The sequence below is a fragment of the Homo sapiens genome, chromosome 4 (assembly GCF_000001405.40).
Source record: "Homo sapiens chromosome 4, GRCh38.p14 Primary Assembly".
Taxonomy (NCBI): domain Eukaryota; kingdom Metazoa; phylum Chordata; class Mammalia; order Primates; family Hominidae; genus Homo; species Homo sapiens.
The window spans coordinates 153,922,428-153,939,402 of NC_000004.12; the positions used below are offsets into that span (position 1 = coordinate 153,922,428).

General features: G+C 39.8%; 1 long non-coding RNA gene across 1 annotated transcript in view, besides 1 other annotated feature; it reads left to right on the forward strand.

The window, feature by feature from the left end:
* LOC101927947 (uncharacterized) overlaps window positions 1-16,975 on the forward strand; it is a 469,997-nt gene that overhangs the window by 93,605 nt on the left and 359,417 nt on the right. The gene's annotated exons all lie outside the window — the stretch shown is intronic.
* Window positions 11,528-12,027: an enhancer, noted in NCBI's record as "H3K27ac hESC enhancer chr4:154855107-154855606 (GRCh37/hg19 assembly coordinates)". NCBI's record gives its function as "activates a minimal SCP1, AML or CMV promoter by ChIP-STARR-seq in primed H9 embryonic stem cells {active_cell/tissue: H9 hESC(primed)}" and the evidence as "EXISTENCE:reporter gene assay evidence [ECO:0000049][PMID:30033119]".

Genomic DNA, 16,975 nt, shown 5'->3' on the forward strand with positions numbered 1-16,975 from the left:
CCCTCAAGTTCTTCCTGTCCTTTAACTTTCCCTCTGACTTCTGTCACCAATTTTTCCATCTCTTTCTATGTAAGTCTTTCCTAACCAAAGTTCTGTTAGTATACTTTATTAAATAATTCCTCTGTGAAAAAGACACCCCAAACTTCCAATTTCTTGGCCATATCCACTTCCCCATTTCCTCACAGCCTTCAAGAGAAACCCACCCTACGCCCTCTTGATTTCAGACCTCTGGCCTCCAGAATGGTGAGACAACACAGTGCTATTGTTTAAGCCACTCAGTTCATCATACTTTGTTATAGCAGCCCTGGGAGAAAAACATGCCTTTCATTCAGCACAGATGCCATGGTCTGACATCATAGCCACCCCACAAATCCCATATCCACTTTTGTCATACTTGCCTGGCATTCCCTCCTGTAGCATCCTGGTGAGATCCATTTATTTGCATGCTCTGGGGCTGAACTTTTGCAACAGAACATCATGGGAAGGAAACACATCCCTGCAAACTGGTCTTGCTTACCTTGAGGTTGCCCAGGCTGGCTAACCTCAAGTGGGCCCTTGGTGTTGCCCAGCTACTATGCTACCTCTCCCTAGAGTCAGCTCTCTCTCCTGCCATCTGATATGATCATTATAGCCCTTCTCTCTCTTCAACCTTTCGGCACTTCCTTCCCACCTTCCTGATCCAGTGATGACTCTGCTGCCCAGCTCATGGAGAAAATGGACGTAATTGGGAGAGAACTTCTGTGTGCTCCCCACCATGCACATCCACCCTCCCGTATCTGTATCAAGGTTTTCTGCTTTCTCTCTTGTTATTATGAGGAACCACCCATGTCCTGTCTTCAGCCTGCTTCTTTCTCTTGCACCCGATCCCATCCCTCTTTGCCTATTCCAGACTATTGTTGAAAAACTACCTATCAGGTTCCATGCACAGTACCTGAGTGATGAGATCGCTCATACCCCAAACCTCAGCGACACGCAAGTTACCCATGTGACAAACCTGCACATGCACCCTGAACCTAAAATAAACGTTGAAAAAAAAAGAATATCATTTCAGAAATTTTCTCTGGGATTTTTCTCAACAGTTGTTACACGCTCATTTGTGTTCCCCGAAAATTCATATGTAAAGTCCTAACCCCCAGTACCTCAGAAGGTAACTGTACTTGGAGACAGGGTCTTTACAATAGGTAATTAAGTTTAAAGGAGGTCATTGGAGTGGGCCCTAATCCAGTATGACCGGTATCCTTAATAAAGAGATCAGGATGCAGACGCGCACAGAGGGAAGACCATGTGAAGACACCAAAAGACGATGGCCATCTGCAAGCTGAGAAGAGAGGCCTCGGGAGAAACCAACCCTGACGCCACCTTGATCTTTTACTTCTACTCTCCAGGACCGTGAGAAAATAAATGTCTGTTGTTTAAGTCACTCAGTCTGTGGTGCTTTGTCATGCCAGCTGTAGCAGACTGAGACAGCCCTACAAATGTGCTGCCATTTCTCTCATCTTCAGCAGCCTGACCCTTTCCTTTTTTTCTCCTTTTTTTTTCCTTTGAGACAAGGTCTCACTCTGTTGCCCAGGCTGGAGTGCAGTGGCACCATCTTGGCTCACTACAACCTCTGCCTCCTGGGATCAACTGATTCTCTTGCTTCAGCCTCCCGAATAGCTGGGATTATAGGCGTGCACCACCATGCCCAGCTAATTTTTGTATTTTTAGTAGAGACGGGGTTTTGCCATGTTGGCCGGGCTCTGACCCTTTCTTGATTCCTCATCTCCTTTCCTCTGCTCCTTTCCAGAAAGACCTTGAGCTTTCTGTGTTGGCTGTGTCCACTTCCTCTCCTCTCAGTTTTTCTTCCATCTCATTTTCAGATCTCTGAGTACTGGAGTGTCCCAGGGATTAGTCTTTGAACCTCTCCATTTCTTTTCCCATAATTACTTCCTATGTGAATTAATTTAGTCTCATGGCTTTAAACACTACTCATCAGCTAGCAACAGCTTAGTTCATCTCTCCCTTGCCCATTGGGTGTGTATACAACTGCTCACTCAAGACCTCTACTTGGAGGCCTAATTGCCAACTTCAACTTAATACGTCCCAGACTACCTTCTGATTTCCATTTCCCATCCCCCTAAGACCCCAAATTCTGCTCTCCTGCCATCTTCTGCATCTCTTAGATGGCTATGCCCTCTTTCTATTTGTCTACACAAAGACAGACAAAACAAAACAAAATAACTTTGGAGTTATCCTTGAATGCTCCCATTGTCTTATACTGGTCATCTAATCTATCAGCAAATCCTGTTGAATTATTTTACAAATATATCTAGAGTCTGACACTTACCACCTCTACAACCACCACTCTGGTCTAATCCTCCACCATCTCTCATCAGCATTATTGCTATTGGCACCCAACACATTTCCCTGCTTCAGTCCTTGCCTTTATTAGTCCTTCATTTTAGCCTCTGTATAGCAAGCAGAGTGAGCCTTTAGAAATATAAGTCAATCATATAACTGCTTGCCTTAGGTCTCTCCAACAGCTCTCTTTCTCGGTTAGAGTAAAAGCCAGAGTCCTTACTCTAGAAGGACTAGAAGAAGAAGTCAACAACTAGAATCTGCTCCTCCCTCCCCTGAATCCATTACCTCTGTGAACACATCACTTCCCTTACTTCATCCTCATTCACTCAGCACCAGCCATGCTGATTGCCCTGCAATTTCTTAAAGATATGAGCATGCTCCCACCTTGGGGCCCTTGTACCTGCTAACCCGTCTTTCTGGGACGCTTTCCCCATAAGGAGAGATAGCACTTGTACTGTGCTAACTGTGGGCCAAGTCTGTTCTAAGCACTTTGCAGGTAAGAACATATTTGATCTGCATGTCTCATGCCTCGACTTCCTTCAGATCTTTGCTCAATGTTGCGAGAAATGCCCTCTCTGACTACTATATGTATATGTATATATATACACATATATATAAACTTATATATAGAATATATATAGAATATATAGCTTATATATTTACATATAGTTTATATATTTATAAACTATATATTCTATATATGGTTTATATATGTTTATATATATGTGTATATATATACATCTACCTCCCTCATCTCCCTATCCTCTTTACTGTGTGTTTTCCCCCAATCCTGTCATCATCATTCATGAGATACATTTACTTGTTTATTTTCTTATATGTTTCCTTCACTGGAATTATTATACACTCATGAGGCAGGGCTTTTTTGGTTCTCTGCTTGTCAAATCACTGACTGACTGACTGAATTTTATACTTGGTACTATTGGCAAGCCTACCTGAAATCAGTAATGCATTATCAGGGTCTTACAGCTCTCTTCTATGGCCCTAGCACTGTATGTGCCAGACAGGCTTTGCGGGAGTGTGCAGGGGATGAAAGTGAGTGTCTAAAAAACATTTAAGGCCCTCCTCTCAAAGACCTTTTGGTTAGGTTGATAGCACTGCTCAAATACATGTGACACAGTGATGATTTTTCTTTGTGGGGTTAGGAATGGAACTTGGGGAGCTTATATAGCCAGGCACAGCTTCTGTGAAGAAGAGAATTTTGAGCCAGTCTTTAAAGAATGGCCAAGGTTTAGTAGCAGCACAGCGTGAGATGGGACACAGAGTGGAGAGAAAGCCAGGGTTTTGTGAGAATATGTATGGAGATGTTTGCATGTATTCACATACACATGTAGCCACTATTTAGTCCTACTACAAACACAGAGAACACACACACACACACATTTACAGAATGGAATGTTATTTTATTAAATGTTCTGTAACTTTCTAAAACTAATAATAAATTGACAGTACCTTTTTGAGACAAGTCACCTCCAATCTTATCGAATTTGCTTCTGCAACTATAAAACAGGCATAATAGTGCCTGTTTCCTCAGGTTCGTGGTATAACCTAGTGGCTTCAAATTCTGTCTCTGCTACTTTCTAGCTGTATGACCTTGGACAAGTCATTTAGCCTCTCTATGCCTCAATTTCCTTATATGTGAAATGGGGATGATAATAAGTGCCTCATAAGATTGCTTTAAGAATTCAGGCTGGGCACAGTGGCTCACACCTTTAATCCCAGCATTTTGGGAGGCCAAGGTGGGCAGATCATGAGCTCAGGAATTCGAGACCATCCTGGGTAACATAGTAAGACCCTGTCTCTACTAAAAATACAAAAATTAGCCAGATGTGGTGGCCTGCGCCTGTAATCCCAGCAACTTGGGAGGCTGAGGCATGAGAATCGTTTGAACCTGAGAGGTGAAGGCTGCAGTGAGCTGAGATGGCACAACTGCACTCCAGCCTGGGTAACAGAGTGAGACTCTGTCTCAAAAAAAAAAAAAATTCAATGAATGAATACATGTGAAGTATTAGAGCAGAGGCTGGCATATAATGCTATATAAAGGTTAGCTGTCATTGTCACTAGGTGAGAATGAACTATGATAATGAACTCACCGACCTATTACTAGGCAAAGATTAAGTATAAAGCCTGTGAAAAGTGATGCATAACATTACACAAATGTATGCTTGTGTATATCTGTGAGGAGTTTCAAGCGAGTATGTGTAAGTGGGTGCATTTTTCATCCTTGCCACAGCATTGAATGGTGGTTAAAATGAATAGGCTCTTAGACATATACTCTAGAATCTAATCCTGAATCCACTATGTACCAGCTGTGTATCCACTGGGAAATTACTCAATCTCTCTGTACCTAAATATCCTCATTTGTAAAGTGGGATTAATAACAACAACCCCCATAATAATAATACCTCCTTTATTGGGTGGTTATGTGGCATAAATGCAATAGTATATATAAAGTGCTTTTCCCAGTGGCTTGGTGTAGTCAGCACTCAGTGAAGGTTAGCTGTTATTAGTAGCTCTTATTTGTGATGAGTCTATGTAACTGGGACCTTAATGTAGCAGTTCTATTAATCCCCCAAGTTTTACAGCATAGTCTGACCTTGTGTGTCCCTTTTGGCTAGTAAAGCGGTTGGTGAGAGGCTGAATAATAAGTCCCAGCCTTGGGTTGAGCTTATCCTGCCTCATAACATGCAAACACTTTATATTAATCTGAATTTTTCCCACCCCGGCTAAACATTACTTCTCAAAAATGCTGACCAAATCTGAAAATAATCTTCAGTTCTGTCATTAATTTAAAAAGTAATATCTTCCAGTGTGGCTAGCTTTCTCAAACCATTCTTCCAGTGAATTACATTCATAACTGTGGTGGGTATTCGTTTTTGTTAATCTTTTAAGAGTGAGTAATGACCATAGAGTGGAAATATTTTTCGTCTGTGAGTGGGAATGCAGTTAGAAATTCATCATGGCCTGATTAGAATAGTAGAGATCCGTGAATGGGCATGATGAGGTTTGTTGTTGTTGCTATCTTTAAACAATTGTTGTGTTACCTAGTATGATGTCCAGATGCGTCATTGGCTGCATAGCCTCTCCAAGATGCTTCATTCGAAATAATGGTAACCTTTGTCTGCTAACTGGATTTCACTGGGTCTCTACTCTGAGACTGGTAAAAACCAAAGTGTATTTTGTGTGTGTGTGTGTGTGTGTGTGTGTGTGTGTGTACATGCTTAACAGATAATGAATCAATTCAAATCCAAAATATAATTTACAATTTGTACCTACGATAGCTCTATCTCTATAGCTAAACATTCATACCTAATTAATCTTCTCTAGAAATGCATCTCTAGCCTGTGTGCTTTCTTTCGTATGCAAGCTATCTGCATATTGGAATATTAATTTGGGTTTCATTTCTATTGCTGTAGGGTTTTACTTTTATCCACGTAATGTAGCCAGGCATTTATGTTCCCATAGCTCAGGGGCCTTGGGGTTACAGGCTAAAAGGAGAAATTTCCAGTCACCCAAAAGGCAACCACCCACCTCATCACTGGTTTTTGAAAGCCTGGGTTCACCGAGAGGATATCTTTGGCTCTTCTGCTGGGGGGAGAGGGTGGACGATGGTACTTTAGGAGGCAGAGGTCATAGCAGGCACACTGCACGGAGGGTAGATTTTCTGAGAGGAGAGTGTGGATCGATTGGGTTGGAGGCTGTCTGTGTTTGTGCAGCAGCCTGTCTGTGGGGGCATGAGAGGCCTGACAATGGGGTAGTTTGTGCCCTTCAGCCTCAGTGGTGAGGCTCTCTGAGGTCGAGGCTATGGTCAGAGGAATGCCCGCTGAGGGGCAATCTCTGGGCTTCCTGGGAGCCAAGGCGCATCAGCTAGGGGAAGGAACAGTGGGAATGATGGCAACCCTAAAACTGACACCTTGCTCAGAGTTTGCTGGCACTAAGAGCACCCCATATTTGAGTATGATTCCTTAGCGCCCCATATTTGAGTGTGATTCTTTTGAGGGTGGGGAGGGATTCTTAATACTGAGCGCCCAGTTTGTCACTAGGCTCTTTGGGTAAGAGCTTAGAGCAGATTTAATTTGATTTAGAAAAACAAATGAATCGGAAATTTCCTGTAGTCAAGTGTTGTGGGAAAAAATCCATACTGACCATATTTATAAGCCTGTAAAAGGAAGGTAGTAAACAGTTAATTTAACCTAGAAGTTACCATGAAGTTTAGCAGCATGGCTTAACTGAAGCCTGTCCCAGTAAATGAAGACATGTCTGTTCCCCTCTCAGAGGGGATCTAGCCCATCTTTGTGTGATACTGTGCAGAATAGGAGAGCTCAGAAGACCATGAGGACACCTAGCTGTAACCTCTAAACCGGGAGGAACAGAGAAAGCATGCCATGTTTAAAGTGGCAGCAAGGGTGATGGGGGTACTTCTCAGGTGCATCTTGAAGCACTTGCTTTAAGAAACCTACTTCTTAATCCAAACTCAGGAAGCAAACATCTGCTTTTGTTTCTGTATCTCACCAGAAAAAGATGGAAGTTTCATATTTGAATATAAAATGGAACATCCATTGGACAATATTGAAAACGACTTGCAGAAAAAGAGATTAAGTAAAACAATAGATTTTTCCAACCATATCAGCCTCCATTTAAACCATGAGCAAACTCTGGTCAGAAATCTTTCACTGCCAGGGTTTCTTGCTTTTGTGTGGCATGGACCTCTTTGGCAGTCGAGCAGACCCTTTTAGAACGATCTTTTAAAATGCATACGATAAACTACATAAATTGAAAAAAAAAACAAGACATGTTGGAAGGGAATTATTGAAATATTAAGAAAAACAAACTTGTGCTATGTTAACATGTTTCTTCTTTGTTAAGGCATCCGATAACAATGTCTAGCAACAGGGCTAGCAATTACCATAATTTTGAAGTGTTGATCTCTTTACAAAGAGATGCCTGTGGGGAAATCCTCTAAGGCTAGAGAAACTTCAGGCTTTCTCTTGGAGCCTTTGGATTTGGCGACAAGCTCAGCCACTCTGGAGTCAGAACAAATGGAGGCAGTGATCCAGAACAAAAATGAAAAGAAATTTTAAAAGACCTCTGCCTGGGAGAAGGAAAGGGGGTCAAGGGTCAGGCTGCCAAAGAGAAAAGACCTATGCCTTCTGATTTATTCCCTTTTAGGAAGGGCTGGCCGTCTGCTGAAGTGATGGCAGTTTCTGAACCAGCACAAGCGGCAGCATCGGCAAGCTGAACTATCGCTTTCATAGGGATTTATCTTATAGAAGGAGAATTGAATGTTTCTTCATGTTCTTTTTGATGCTCCTTTGAGGAGAAGCCCTGTTTATTATTTTCTATGAAAACCAAGCCACATGGACTCAGGTATTTTTCCATAGCAGCAGTAGAATTCCATTGTTTACCTACAGAAACATATGACAAACTGCTCAGTAAGTTCTTCAAGTGATATCTTTCGGAGCAAGCACTAGGCTGAGATATTTGTCTGAGGGCGTTTCTCTACCCTGTAGCTTTCTCTCTCTCTCTTTCTCACTTACCCACCCACTTACACACAAAAACACATACTCACATGCTTTTCTGTTTGTTGTGCATAAATTCTATTATTTTTGTCTGTTACCCTTGAAATTCATGTTTTTAAGGAAGGTTAGGGAAAACAGTTTCATGAAACACTAATATCAGATATTTAAAAATTATCAGTGCTATTTTAAAACAAAACAAAAGCACGACTACAAGGCAACCAATGGAGCTAAAGCTGAATTTAGCTTTAGAAATGATTACAGGCTGAATTATATGCCATGTATACAGATTTGCTTCTAGATTTGGCAATCAAGAAGCCAAGTATAAATATATATACAAGTAGACTTCTCTCTTATAAGATGACAGTAAATGTACACATGGACACAAGCATGAAAATCCTGTCGTATGTGTTATTATGGAAAAAAAGCATTTAAATGTCTGAGTAGTATGAGCTGGCGCCTGGCATAGAAGTAAAATAAAGGGTTTAGGTTTGGTTTAGATTCCAGGTAGCACCTCTGCTCCCGAATATTATGATCTGTACCGTGTTGCAGCACTTAAGCTGTTGATTCCAGGCAGTCTGGCATTAAGCATAAATAATATCACTGGATGCATTCAACAAACTTGTGACCAGAAGAGCCCCCTTCCAATAAAGACATTGGAAGTGAATATATTGGCAGGGCTGCAGGAGCATCATCCTGAAGATACTCGGTAGTGCATTCAGGGTCTTTGGAAGGAGAGATAGGTACTTTTGGGCTGTTGGAGGTCCTTCCCTGTAGGGATACCCAATATCATGTCTCAGGGTTTGGGGTAACAATTCTCTCTTCTCTTCTAGAACACCCCATTTCAGATAAAATGTCAGCTTTAAGAAATCTGTTGTGGATGGGTCACTCAAGACATTTTATTTTGCCAAGAATAAATTGGTAGCCCACAAAGCTAACTTCATTTATTTGACTTTCAAATTCCCCATTCTCAAAATTAAGATTCTTGTAGTTCTTTAAGTCTGGAAATTCTATTTTTTTTCTGCTAATTGGGATTGTGGGACTAGAAGTCTCTTCCCTCTTTAATTTACCTTTCATTTTGGATATCTGGATATTTTAATTAGAAAAATGACTGTTCACTTTAACTGCAGGTCATACACTAGCCATTCACTTGCAGATAATCTAGTAGGAATCTGATCTTAAATCAATGTGCCTGTTTTTCCCCCTTTATGGGAAAATTTAGGTTAAGCTAGCTCATGCTTTTTCATAAGTAGACTCAATACAACTTTTAATAGGTATGTACAAATACACTTGCATCAATTACTTAAGGGTTAAATCTTCCTGGAAAATGAGATAATAGTAAACTAGAAGAAGAATTTTGTTGATTGAACTTACTGTACAAACTACAACAAGAGGAAAAGAGAATTTTCTGATTGATAAAAAGGCACCCAGTACTGATAGATTTCCAAATAACATTTTTTCAGACATGATCTCAACCATATTAATCTTTCAGGGGCAGAATAAGTAGGTGACCAAGAATTATTTGCCACAGTTTAGAAATCACACCGCTGGGGCTGAGGTAGGAACTGCATGCCACCAAGCAGCCTAGGGCTCAGTGGTGCTCAAGATGGAATGCAAATTCCCCATCTTATATAGTGAGCAATGCCATTAGTCTGTTAGATTGTATGATGTAATTTCACTTGTTTAAAAAAGGCAGGACAGTCTTCTCAAGGAAAACCTTGCAGTTCACATTTGAGTGATTGCATAACCACTTCTTAGCAATGTGTACTCAGAGTCCTTCAGTTATGGACAATTTATTTTTTATTAAGTCACTTAGCAGTGATCCTGATAAAGTCATTATTCTAAGTATGTTATGGTGGTTATTTCAGACAGTTAAGCACCAGAAAAAAAAAAAAGATTAATTCTGACACCGATGAAACTGGTCTTGTTCCATTTAACTGCTTATGTGTGCTGAGACAGCCAGCTGGAGCCTGGATATGCTTCTGGGATACTTTCAGGCTTCTTTTTTTTTTTTTTTTTTTTTTTTTTGAGATGGAGTCTTGCTCTGTCGCCCAGGCTGGAGTGCAATGGCGTGATCTCGGCTCACTGCAACCTCCGCCTCCGGGGTTCAAGTGATCCTCCTGCCTCAGTCTCCTGAGTAGTTGGGATTACAGGTGCCCACCACCACGCCCGGCTTTTAGTAGCACCACGGTTTTTAGTAGCATACATTGAATAACTTACCTATTTTTCTATTTATTTTGTATACATTTTCCACTTTACAGCCACCTAAGTTACAGTTTTGGGAAATAAAGTGGGATGCTCATATTCAGGGCTTCTATAGCTTGTCTATTATTGTCTTTAAAACAGGTAAGATTTACTTTCTTATCACAAAAGTGACCCTTAATCATTGTAGAAAATTTAGGATATTCAGAGCTAGAATTTTGGAGCATATATACATATATAGCTTTATATTCTAAAATAAATTTGAATCACACTATGCATACTATTTTTGAATGCTTTTTCATGAAAATATATTGTATTTTCCATATCTTTTAAGTAGTTCTCTATAGTATAGTTTCAAAGATTGCATAGTATTTTATTGTATGTATGCTGCATAATTTAGTCAGTACTCTCTTTTTAAACATTTAGGTAGATTCTAATTTTCAGCTGTGATAAACAACACTCCGATGAACATATTTGTAGACGAATCTTTGAGTGCATTCATAGTGATTTCTTTAGAATAAGCTCCTAAAGGTAAAAGGATTGCGTTAGAGAACATCATTAAGTCTTTTTCATGTGTGTTGTCAAATTTCCCTCCTGAAAAGCTGTACCAAGTGACAACCTGCACCAGCCATCTCCTCCTTGCCTTCCCTTCATTTCACCTGCAACTGGTTTGCCGCTTCTCCCTTTTAGTTTGATGTTTCGTCACAAAATTGCAACCCCTAATTTTCAAGTGAAGTGATATATTTCCCCCTATTTGTTATGCTTTTCCCTGAGTGCAGATATGTCCTCAAAACACTTTTCAACACAAATTTTAGATGTAAGAGGCTAACAATTAGAATTGTCCCACAAGAGGAAACCTATTTGCCATCGCTGCTTTATGGCTGTGAATGTGGCCATAACTGGGCTGAAATAAGACAGCAGGTGATTAGAGGCCAATCAATCAATGGTATCATGTGTCACTGTCCACTGTTTAGGCTTGGATATGTTTCAGGGCAGGACAGGGCTGAGCAGGGGGCCAGCTGTAGTGGTTTTGTGTGTACTAAGCAATCACCTTCTTATACAAAGATGGGCGAGGGCTCTTGCTTGTGGGCTTCATTTCAGATTCAAAGCTGGGCTATTGCACAGGGATCTGAAGGAGGAAGAGGAAAAACTAGACAAATTCCTCAGGGATTAGGTGGCCTAAGAGGGCTTCGCAATGGAAGCTTCCCACTTTGTTAGCTAGTAGAACACGTACCCACTCCTAAAACGGCAGTTATTTTTAAAATCCAGGTTAAGCTGCTGTATCCTTTTCCTGTGTCTGAGTTTTCTGCTGAAATTTGTCCAGCGGTATTATGGAGGAGCTACTGAAGGGAGCCCCAGCTGCTTCTGGATGTGAGGGGTCAGCTCTGGGTACAAGGCAAAGGTTATCGGTTCAGGATCAGACATGAGCCCTGAATGAGCCTCCCCTGTAGGTGCTGTCTGCCCCTAGGCTGCTTGCTAGGCTAATGGCCCAGAGAACCTGAGCTTTCAAGCTCTGCACCAAACGTACCCTAGGAGACCTGGCTTCTCTGGCCAGGCCTGAACATTGGAAAGCAGGAAGTGGGATGTGAGGGCCGGCTTGTGACGTAGACCAAAATCAAACCACTTTGAAAATCAATTTTTAACTGCCTTAGCTCCCACTTTGTAAAGCATTTCTCAACAGCGTTCTCTTTGTTGCGACAATGAAATGTTTCTTCTGCCAACATTTTAAAACCCTTTTAATTTTAATGGATTGCTTTATTTTTCCAAAAAAACTGTGTATGCACAATAATTCAGAAAAAAAAAGCTCTTGAACTTTTGTCAGCTAGATTTCTGGCAGGCTTATAGAAGCTTCTTCTTCTTCTTTTTTTGTAGTTGCAAAATAGTCTAGGAAGCAGAGAATGTCTTTATTCCTAATTCAGATATTCTTGTTGAGAGAAAACATGGTTTCTCAGAGAAGCTTTTATCTTCCTACCTTCCTATTAACTCTGCTGTGAATGGGGCTCAACCTCGGTGCTGGCAGAGCCCAGCCTGTGCTGTGGCGGATTCTGCCCCTTCCCTGCCGTGCTCTCCTTCCCCTTCTCTTCCCTGCCCTGTCTTCACCCTTCTCCATGGCTCTTTTCTCTTCAGTTCTCACTGGTTCTGCTGCCTTTCATTGTGATTTGTTGTGGCTCTTGATAGTTTTAAAACTGAGTCATTGAAAGCAAGCATCTAGCGTGTTTTCTGGGACTTCATGTGTGTATAATAACAACTTAGTGTCATATGTGTGTCGTCTCCCTTATTTACTCAATTATATGAACCAATAACTGAAACATGAGAAAGAAGCAAATTTCGTGTCTGACTGTTGCCTCATATTGGAATCCTCCTGCCTCTTCAAAATGAAACAAGGAAGGCTTTAAGAGGAGAAGTTTCACAGGAAATGTGTGTGTGTGTGTGTGTGTGTGTGTGTGTATATTTTTTTATTTTTATTTTTTTTTGAGACAGTGTCTCACTTTGTCACCCAGGCTGGAGTGCAGTGGCATGATCACGGCTCACTGCAGCCTTGACCTCCTGGGTTCAAGCCATCTTCCCACCTCAGCCTCTTAAGAGAAGCTAATTTTTTGGTATTTTTTGTAGAGACAGGGTTTTGGTATGTTGCCCAGGCTGGTCTCAAACTCCTGAGCTCAAGCAATCTGCCTGCCTTGGCCCTCCAAAGTGCTGGCATTACAGGCATGAGCCACCACACCCAGTCTCACAGGGAATATTTGCTACCTATTTTTGTATATTTTATCTTCGCTCTCTTTGTGTTTATCTTCTTTCTCAATGCAGCAACCTCCTCCCCAAACTCCAGACAAGCCCTTTTTGTAGCTCTAAGTAGTATCTTTTTGTGCATGAATTTAGGTCATTGTTGTACCTTGGTCTCTGACTTTAGTTCTATTCTCAATACTAAATTCAAGTAAAAATACGTAAGGACAGAGAGAAAGGGAACATGACATCATTCACTTGCCATGGCTTGTTTTTTCTGATACCTAGTGAATGAATTGGCATTGTTTCAAACAAGGCCAATAGTTAGTGGGATTGAAAGCCAGGTCCTGTACCATGTTAATATGCATGAAAGGCATTTATTCTGTAGGTGTTAATCTCGTGAAAACCATTGGGCATGCCAATTCTCCCGTCTTCTGCTGTCTACATGATCAGGAAAAAGAGAGCAATTCCCTAGGAAGTAAACTCCATTGAGGCCTCATTAATTAAGAAAGAAGATCATGCATATTTGTAGTAGTTCAATAAGAATTGAGCTAAAGCTTGTGTTTATACTATCTTCTGTGGAAGCTTGTTGAACAAGAAAATAGTGTCCACAAGGTAAAGAAAACATTTATTTTACTTAAAACAACATATTAAGCAGGTCAGAAGCATACTTTCTTTTACAAATAATTGTTAAGATAATTAAAACAATTTTTACATTATCATTACACTATAAAAAACTCAGAGTAATAAAGTCAGATTTTAAAAATGTGTGTAATAACAATCATAAGCCTATGTAAAGGCTTATATAAAGGCTTACATAGATCCATGTAAAGATAAGGTTAACAAATATTTATTTCAATATTCTTCTTTTAGTCTTACAATAATCTAAAGTAGTATGACAGAAACTATTATCCCCATGCACTAGTTGGGTTAGTTAACTGTAGCTGCCATAGCAGGGAAACCCTGATAATGTCAGTGGTTTAACACAACAGAGGTTTCTTTCTCCCTCAGGAAAAGTGTGATGGTAATTGGATGAACCACCTCGATCTTGCAGCTATACCAAATAGAACATCTGACACATGTGGCCTCTGAGGTTGCTTCAGCTGAGGGAGGGCTGGAGGAGATACACTGGTTTGTACCTTCCTTGACCTGTAGAGATTCAAGTCGTGTGCTTTCAGATTTCACCAGCTCGAGTTAGTCACATGGTCTCACCCTGACTGCAGGGAGGTGGAGTGGTATATCTGGAAAGCATTGTCCTTCTCTGTCAAACACAATTTTACAAATAAGAGAACTCTGAATAATCAGTAATGTGTGCAAATTCACACAGATATCAAATGGAGAAGCTGGATTTTTCAAAGGTCTTTTAACCCCAGTTCCAATGAACATATACAATAGTGTCTCTCTACATAATCTAATAATAGTATCTCTCTATGTAATCTAATAATGTCTAATAATAGTTTACTAAATCAAATAGACTCTCATTTAATCCCGAGGACATTGAGACAGTTGTGTTTGTGCACATTTAGGAGAAAATATAAGGAGAACCCTGATTATTCCTGTTATAAGTATTATGTGGAATTCTAATTTAATGATAACACTTAGTACTTCATAGGCTTGTTATGTTTCCTATTCTCCCAATGTAACCAGATCTGTGATGGGGCAGTGTGGTGGAGTGGAAAGACCATGGCTTTGGTACCAGATAGATCTCTATTCACATTCCTGTAACAACACTTACCAGTGGTGTAATGTTTTGAGCAAGTTATTTAACTTCTATTATTTTCATTCTCTTCATTTATGTAATAGAGACAACAATATCATGTAGGCTTTTTAAATGTATAAACAAGTTAATATTTATAAAGTCCCTGGAAATAGTAGGTAATGTTATTTTTTAATTTCCCTTAAAAAGCAGCATGTTCAAGTTCATAAAGCAAGATATCTTAGAATTAGATGATGAAATACAAAATCAGACTTCATGCAAAGAAATTTCATCAAATTAAAAAATATATATAAGCACAAATACTTATCCAGTGGAAAAAACTGCCCAAACCAGCAATAAAAAAGCAATGTGAATTGAGGAAGAAATCCAGATATATAGCCACTGGCTGGGTTTGCGAGGTTAGATTGATGAAATACAGGCTGATCTATATTTCTTGGAGTTGATGAGTGTAGGTTTTGATGGACCATCTGATAGTATTTGCTCTGCACAGCCCCTGTTTTCATGTGGTTGATTATCTGTATTACACAGGAAGAAACAACGGGATGATAAAGTCTAACTGCAACAGTAAGTTTCCATGTGCGAGTCTGAAGTTGCTGTCAGTTAGTGTAACCAGAAGATGCTCTGGGAAACATCAGGGCTGGGCTGGGGAAGGGTGGCCGTGGAGCACTGGGTGTGTTTCATTTGGAGGTCATCACCAATGCCCCCTGTGTCCTGAAGCCATTATCATGTGAGGATAAATATCTTCTGGTTTTCTTGAGCAATAAAAACAGTGCTAGATTTTAAGCATATAGTGGTAGAATATACTCATAGCTGTATGGAAAATGTATATGTTGACATGTGGAATCCAGCAGAGAGATACATATACTGTCAGATTTCCCTGAGCTGAACATTCTCAAAGTCCAGGTCTTAAGTTTAATCCAAGATCCTATTGGGAAGGGGTTTTAACTTCTTCCTTTGGAGAGTGGTGTGGTCACCTTGGCTTGTTTTGTTGTAAAGTGAACAGTGAAAATAGAATTATGAGAATTGCATAGAAGTTAAAATTTGGCATCTTCCAGAATTACTTTTTATAGAAATTACCAAAAGCAGATAGAAAATAGCCAAGATTCTTTGGGCAAATTATTCCAGGGTCTTATGATGCTTCTTATTAGAGTAGTCTGGATGTGATAGTCAACGAGTCTTCCTCGGTGAAGTGTGGTATGAACTGGAGGTAAACTGGTTACTATAAATCAGAGTGGGTATATATTTAATAGAAATAAAAGCAATATCTTGAAGAGGTATATCCACTCACGTGTTCATTGCAGAATTATTCACAACAGCCAAAATATGGAATCAACCTGTGTCCATTGAAGGTTGATTGGATAAAGAAAATGTGGCATATATACACAATGTAATATTATTCAGCCATAAAAAAGAAGGAAATCCTGTCATTTGTGACAACATGTATGAACCTGGAGGACATTATGTTAAGTGGAATAAGCTGGGCACATAACAACAAATGCCATGTGATCTCACTTATATGTGAAATCTAAAAAAGAGAGACTCAAAGAAATAGAAAGTAAAATGGTGGTTGGTGGATTTAGGCTGAGGAAAATGGGGAAATGTTGGTCAAAGTCATAGTTATTCAGGATGAGTAAGTTCTAGAGAGCTAATGTTCAGCATGGCGACTGTAGTTAATAATACTGTATTGTATACTTGCAATTTGCTAAAAGAGTAGATCTTTAATGTTCTCAGCACAACAAAAAAGAAAATAGCTATGTGAGGTGATGGATATATCACTTAGCTTGATTGTGGTGCTCATTTCACAGTATATATATATATATATATATATATATATATATATATATATATATGTAGTTATACACTGTAAACATACACAATTTTTATGTATAATTATACCTCAATAAAGCTAGAAAAAAAAAGAAATCAATTACTGCTCTCTGTTCACAGACCTTCCTCTTAAGGTTTTTAAAACCAATTTTTAAAAGTTTTGATTTTTATTAAAGATCTAACCTGAGCTTTCCAGATAGATGGGAAAATAACCTTTTGTGAGTTAAGGTGGAATGTTTGTTTTGTTTTATTTTTGTTTCATAACATTTGCCCCCTAAAATATCCACTGACAGTCACATTTTCATTTTGCTTTTTAGTTGATTGAGCTACAGTGTTTTAAGCTCTGGGGACACAGATATAAACAGGAGAGGTCTCTGCTGTCATGGAGCTCATGCCATAGCACTCGGTCTAACATGCGGTGCGTGAGCTGCCAGCTCATCCATTATTCATTAACATCATTGAGCATTTGTACATGATGGGTGGTTTTCCATGTTCAATTCATTCTTTTTTACCCACCCATCCATTTGTTTATTAATCGAGGGCCCAGAACTTACCTAGGACTTCTGAATAAATGCCTTCTACAATCACCAAAGAAAGAGATCACAGCCTTCCCAAGATTTCAGTGTTCCGTGGA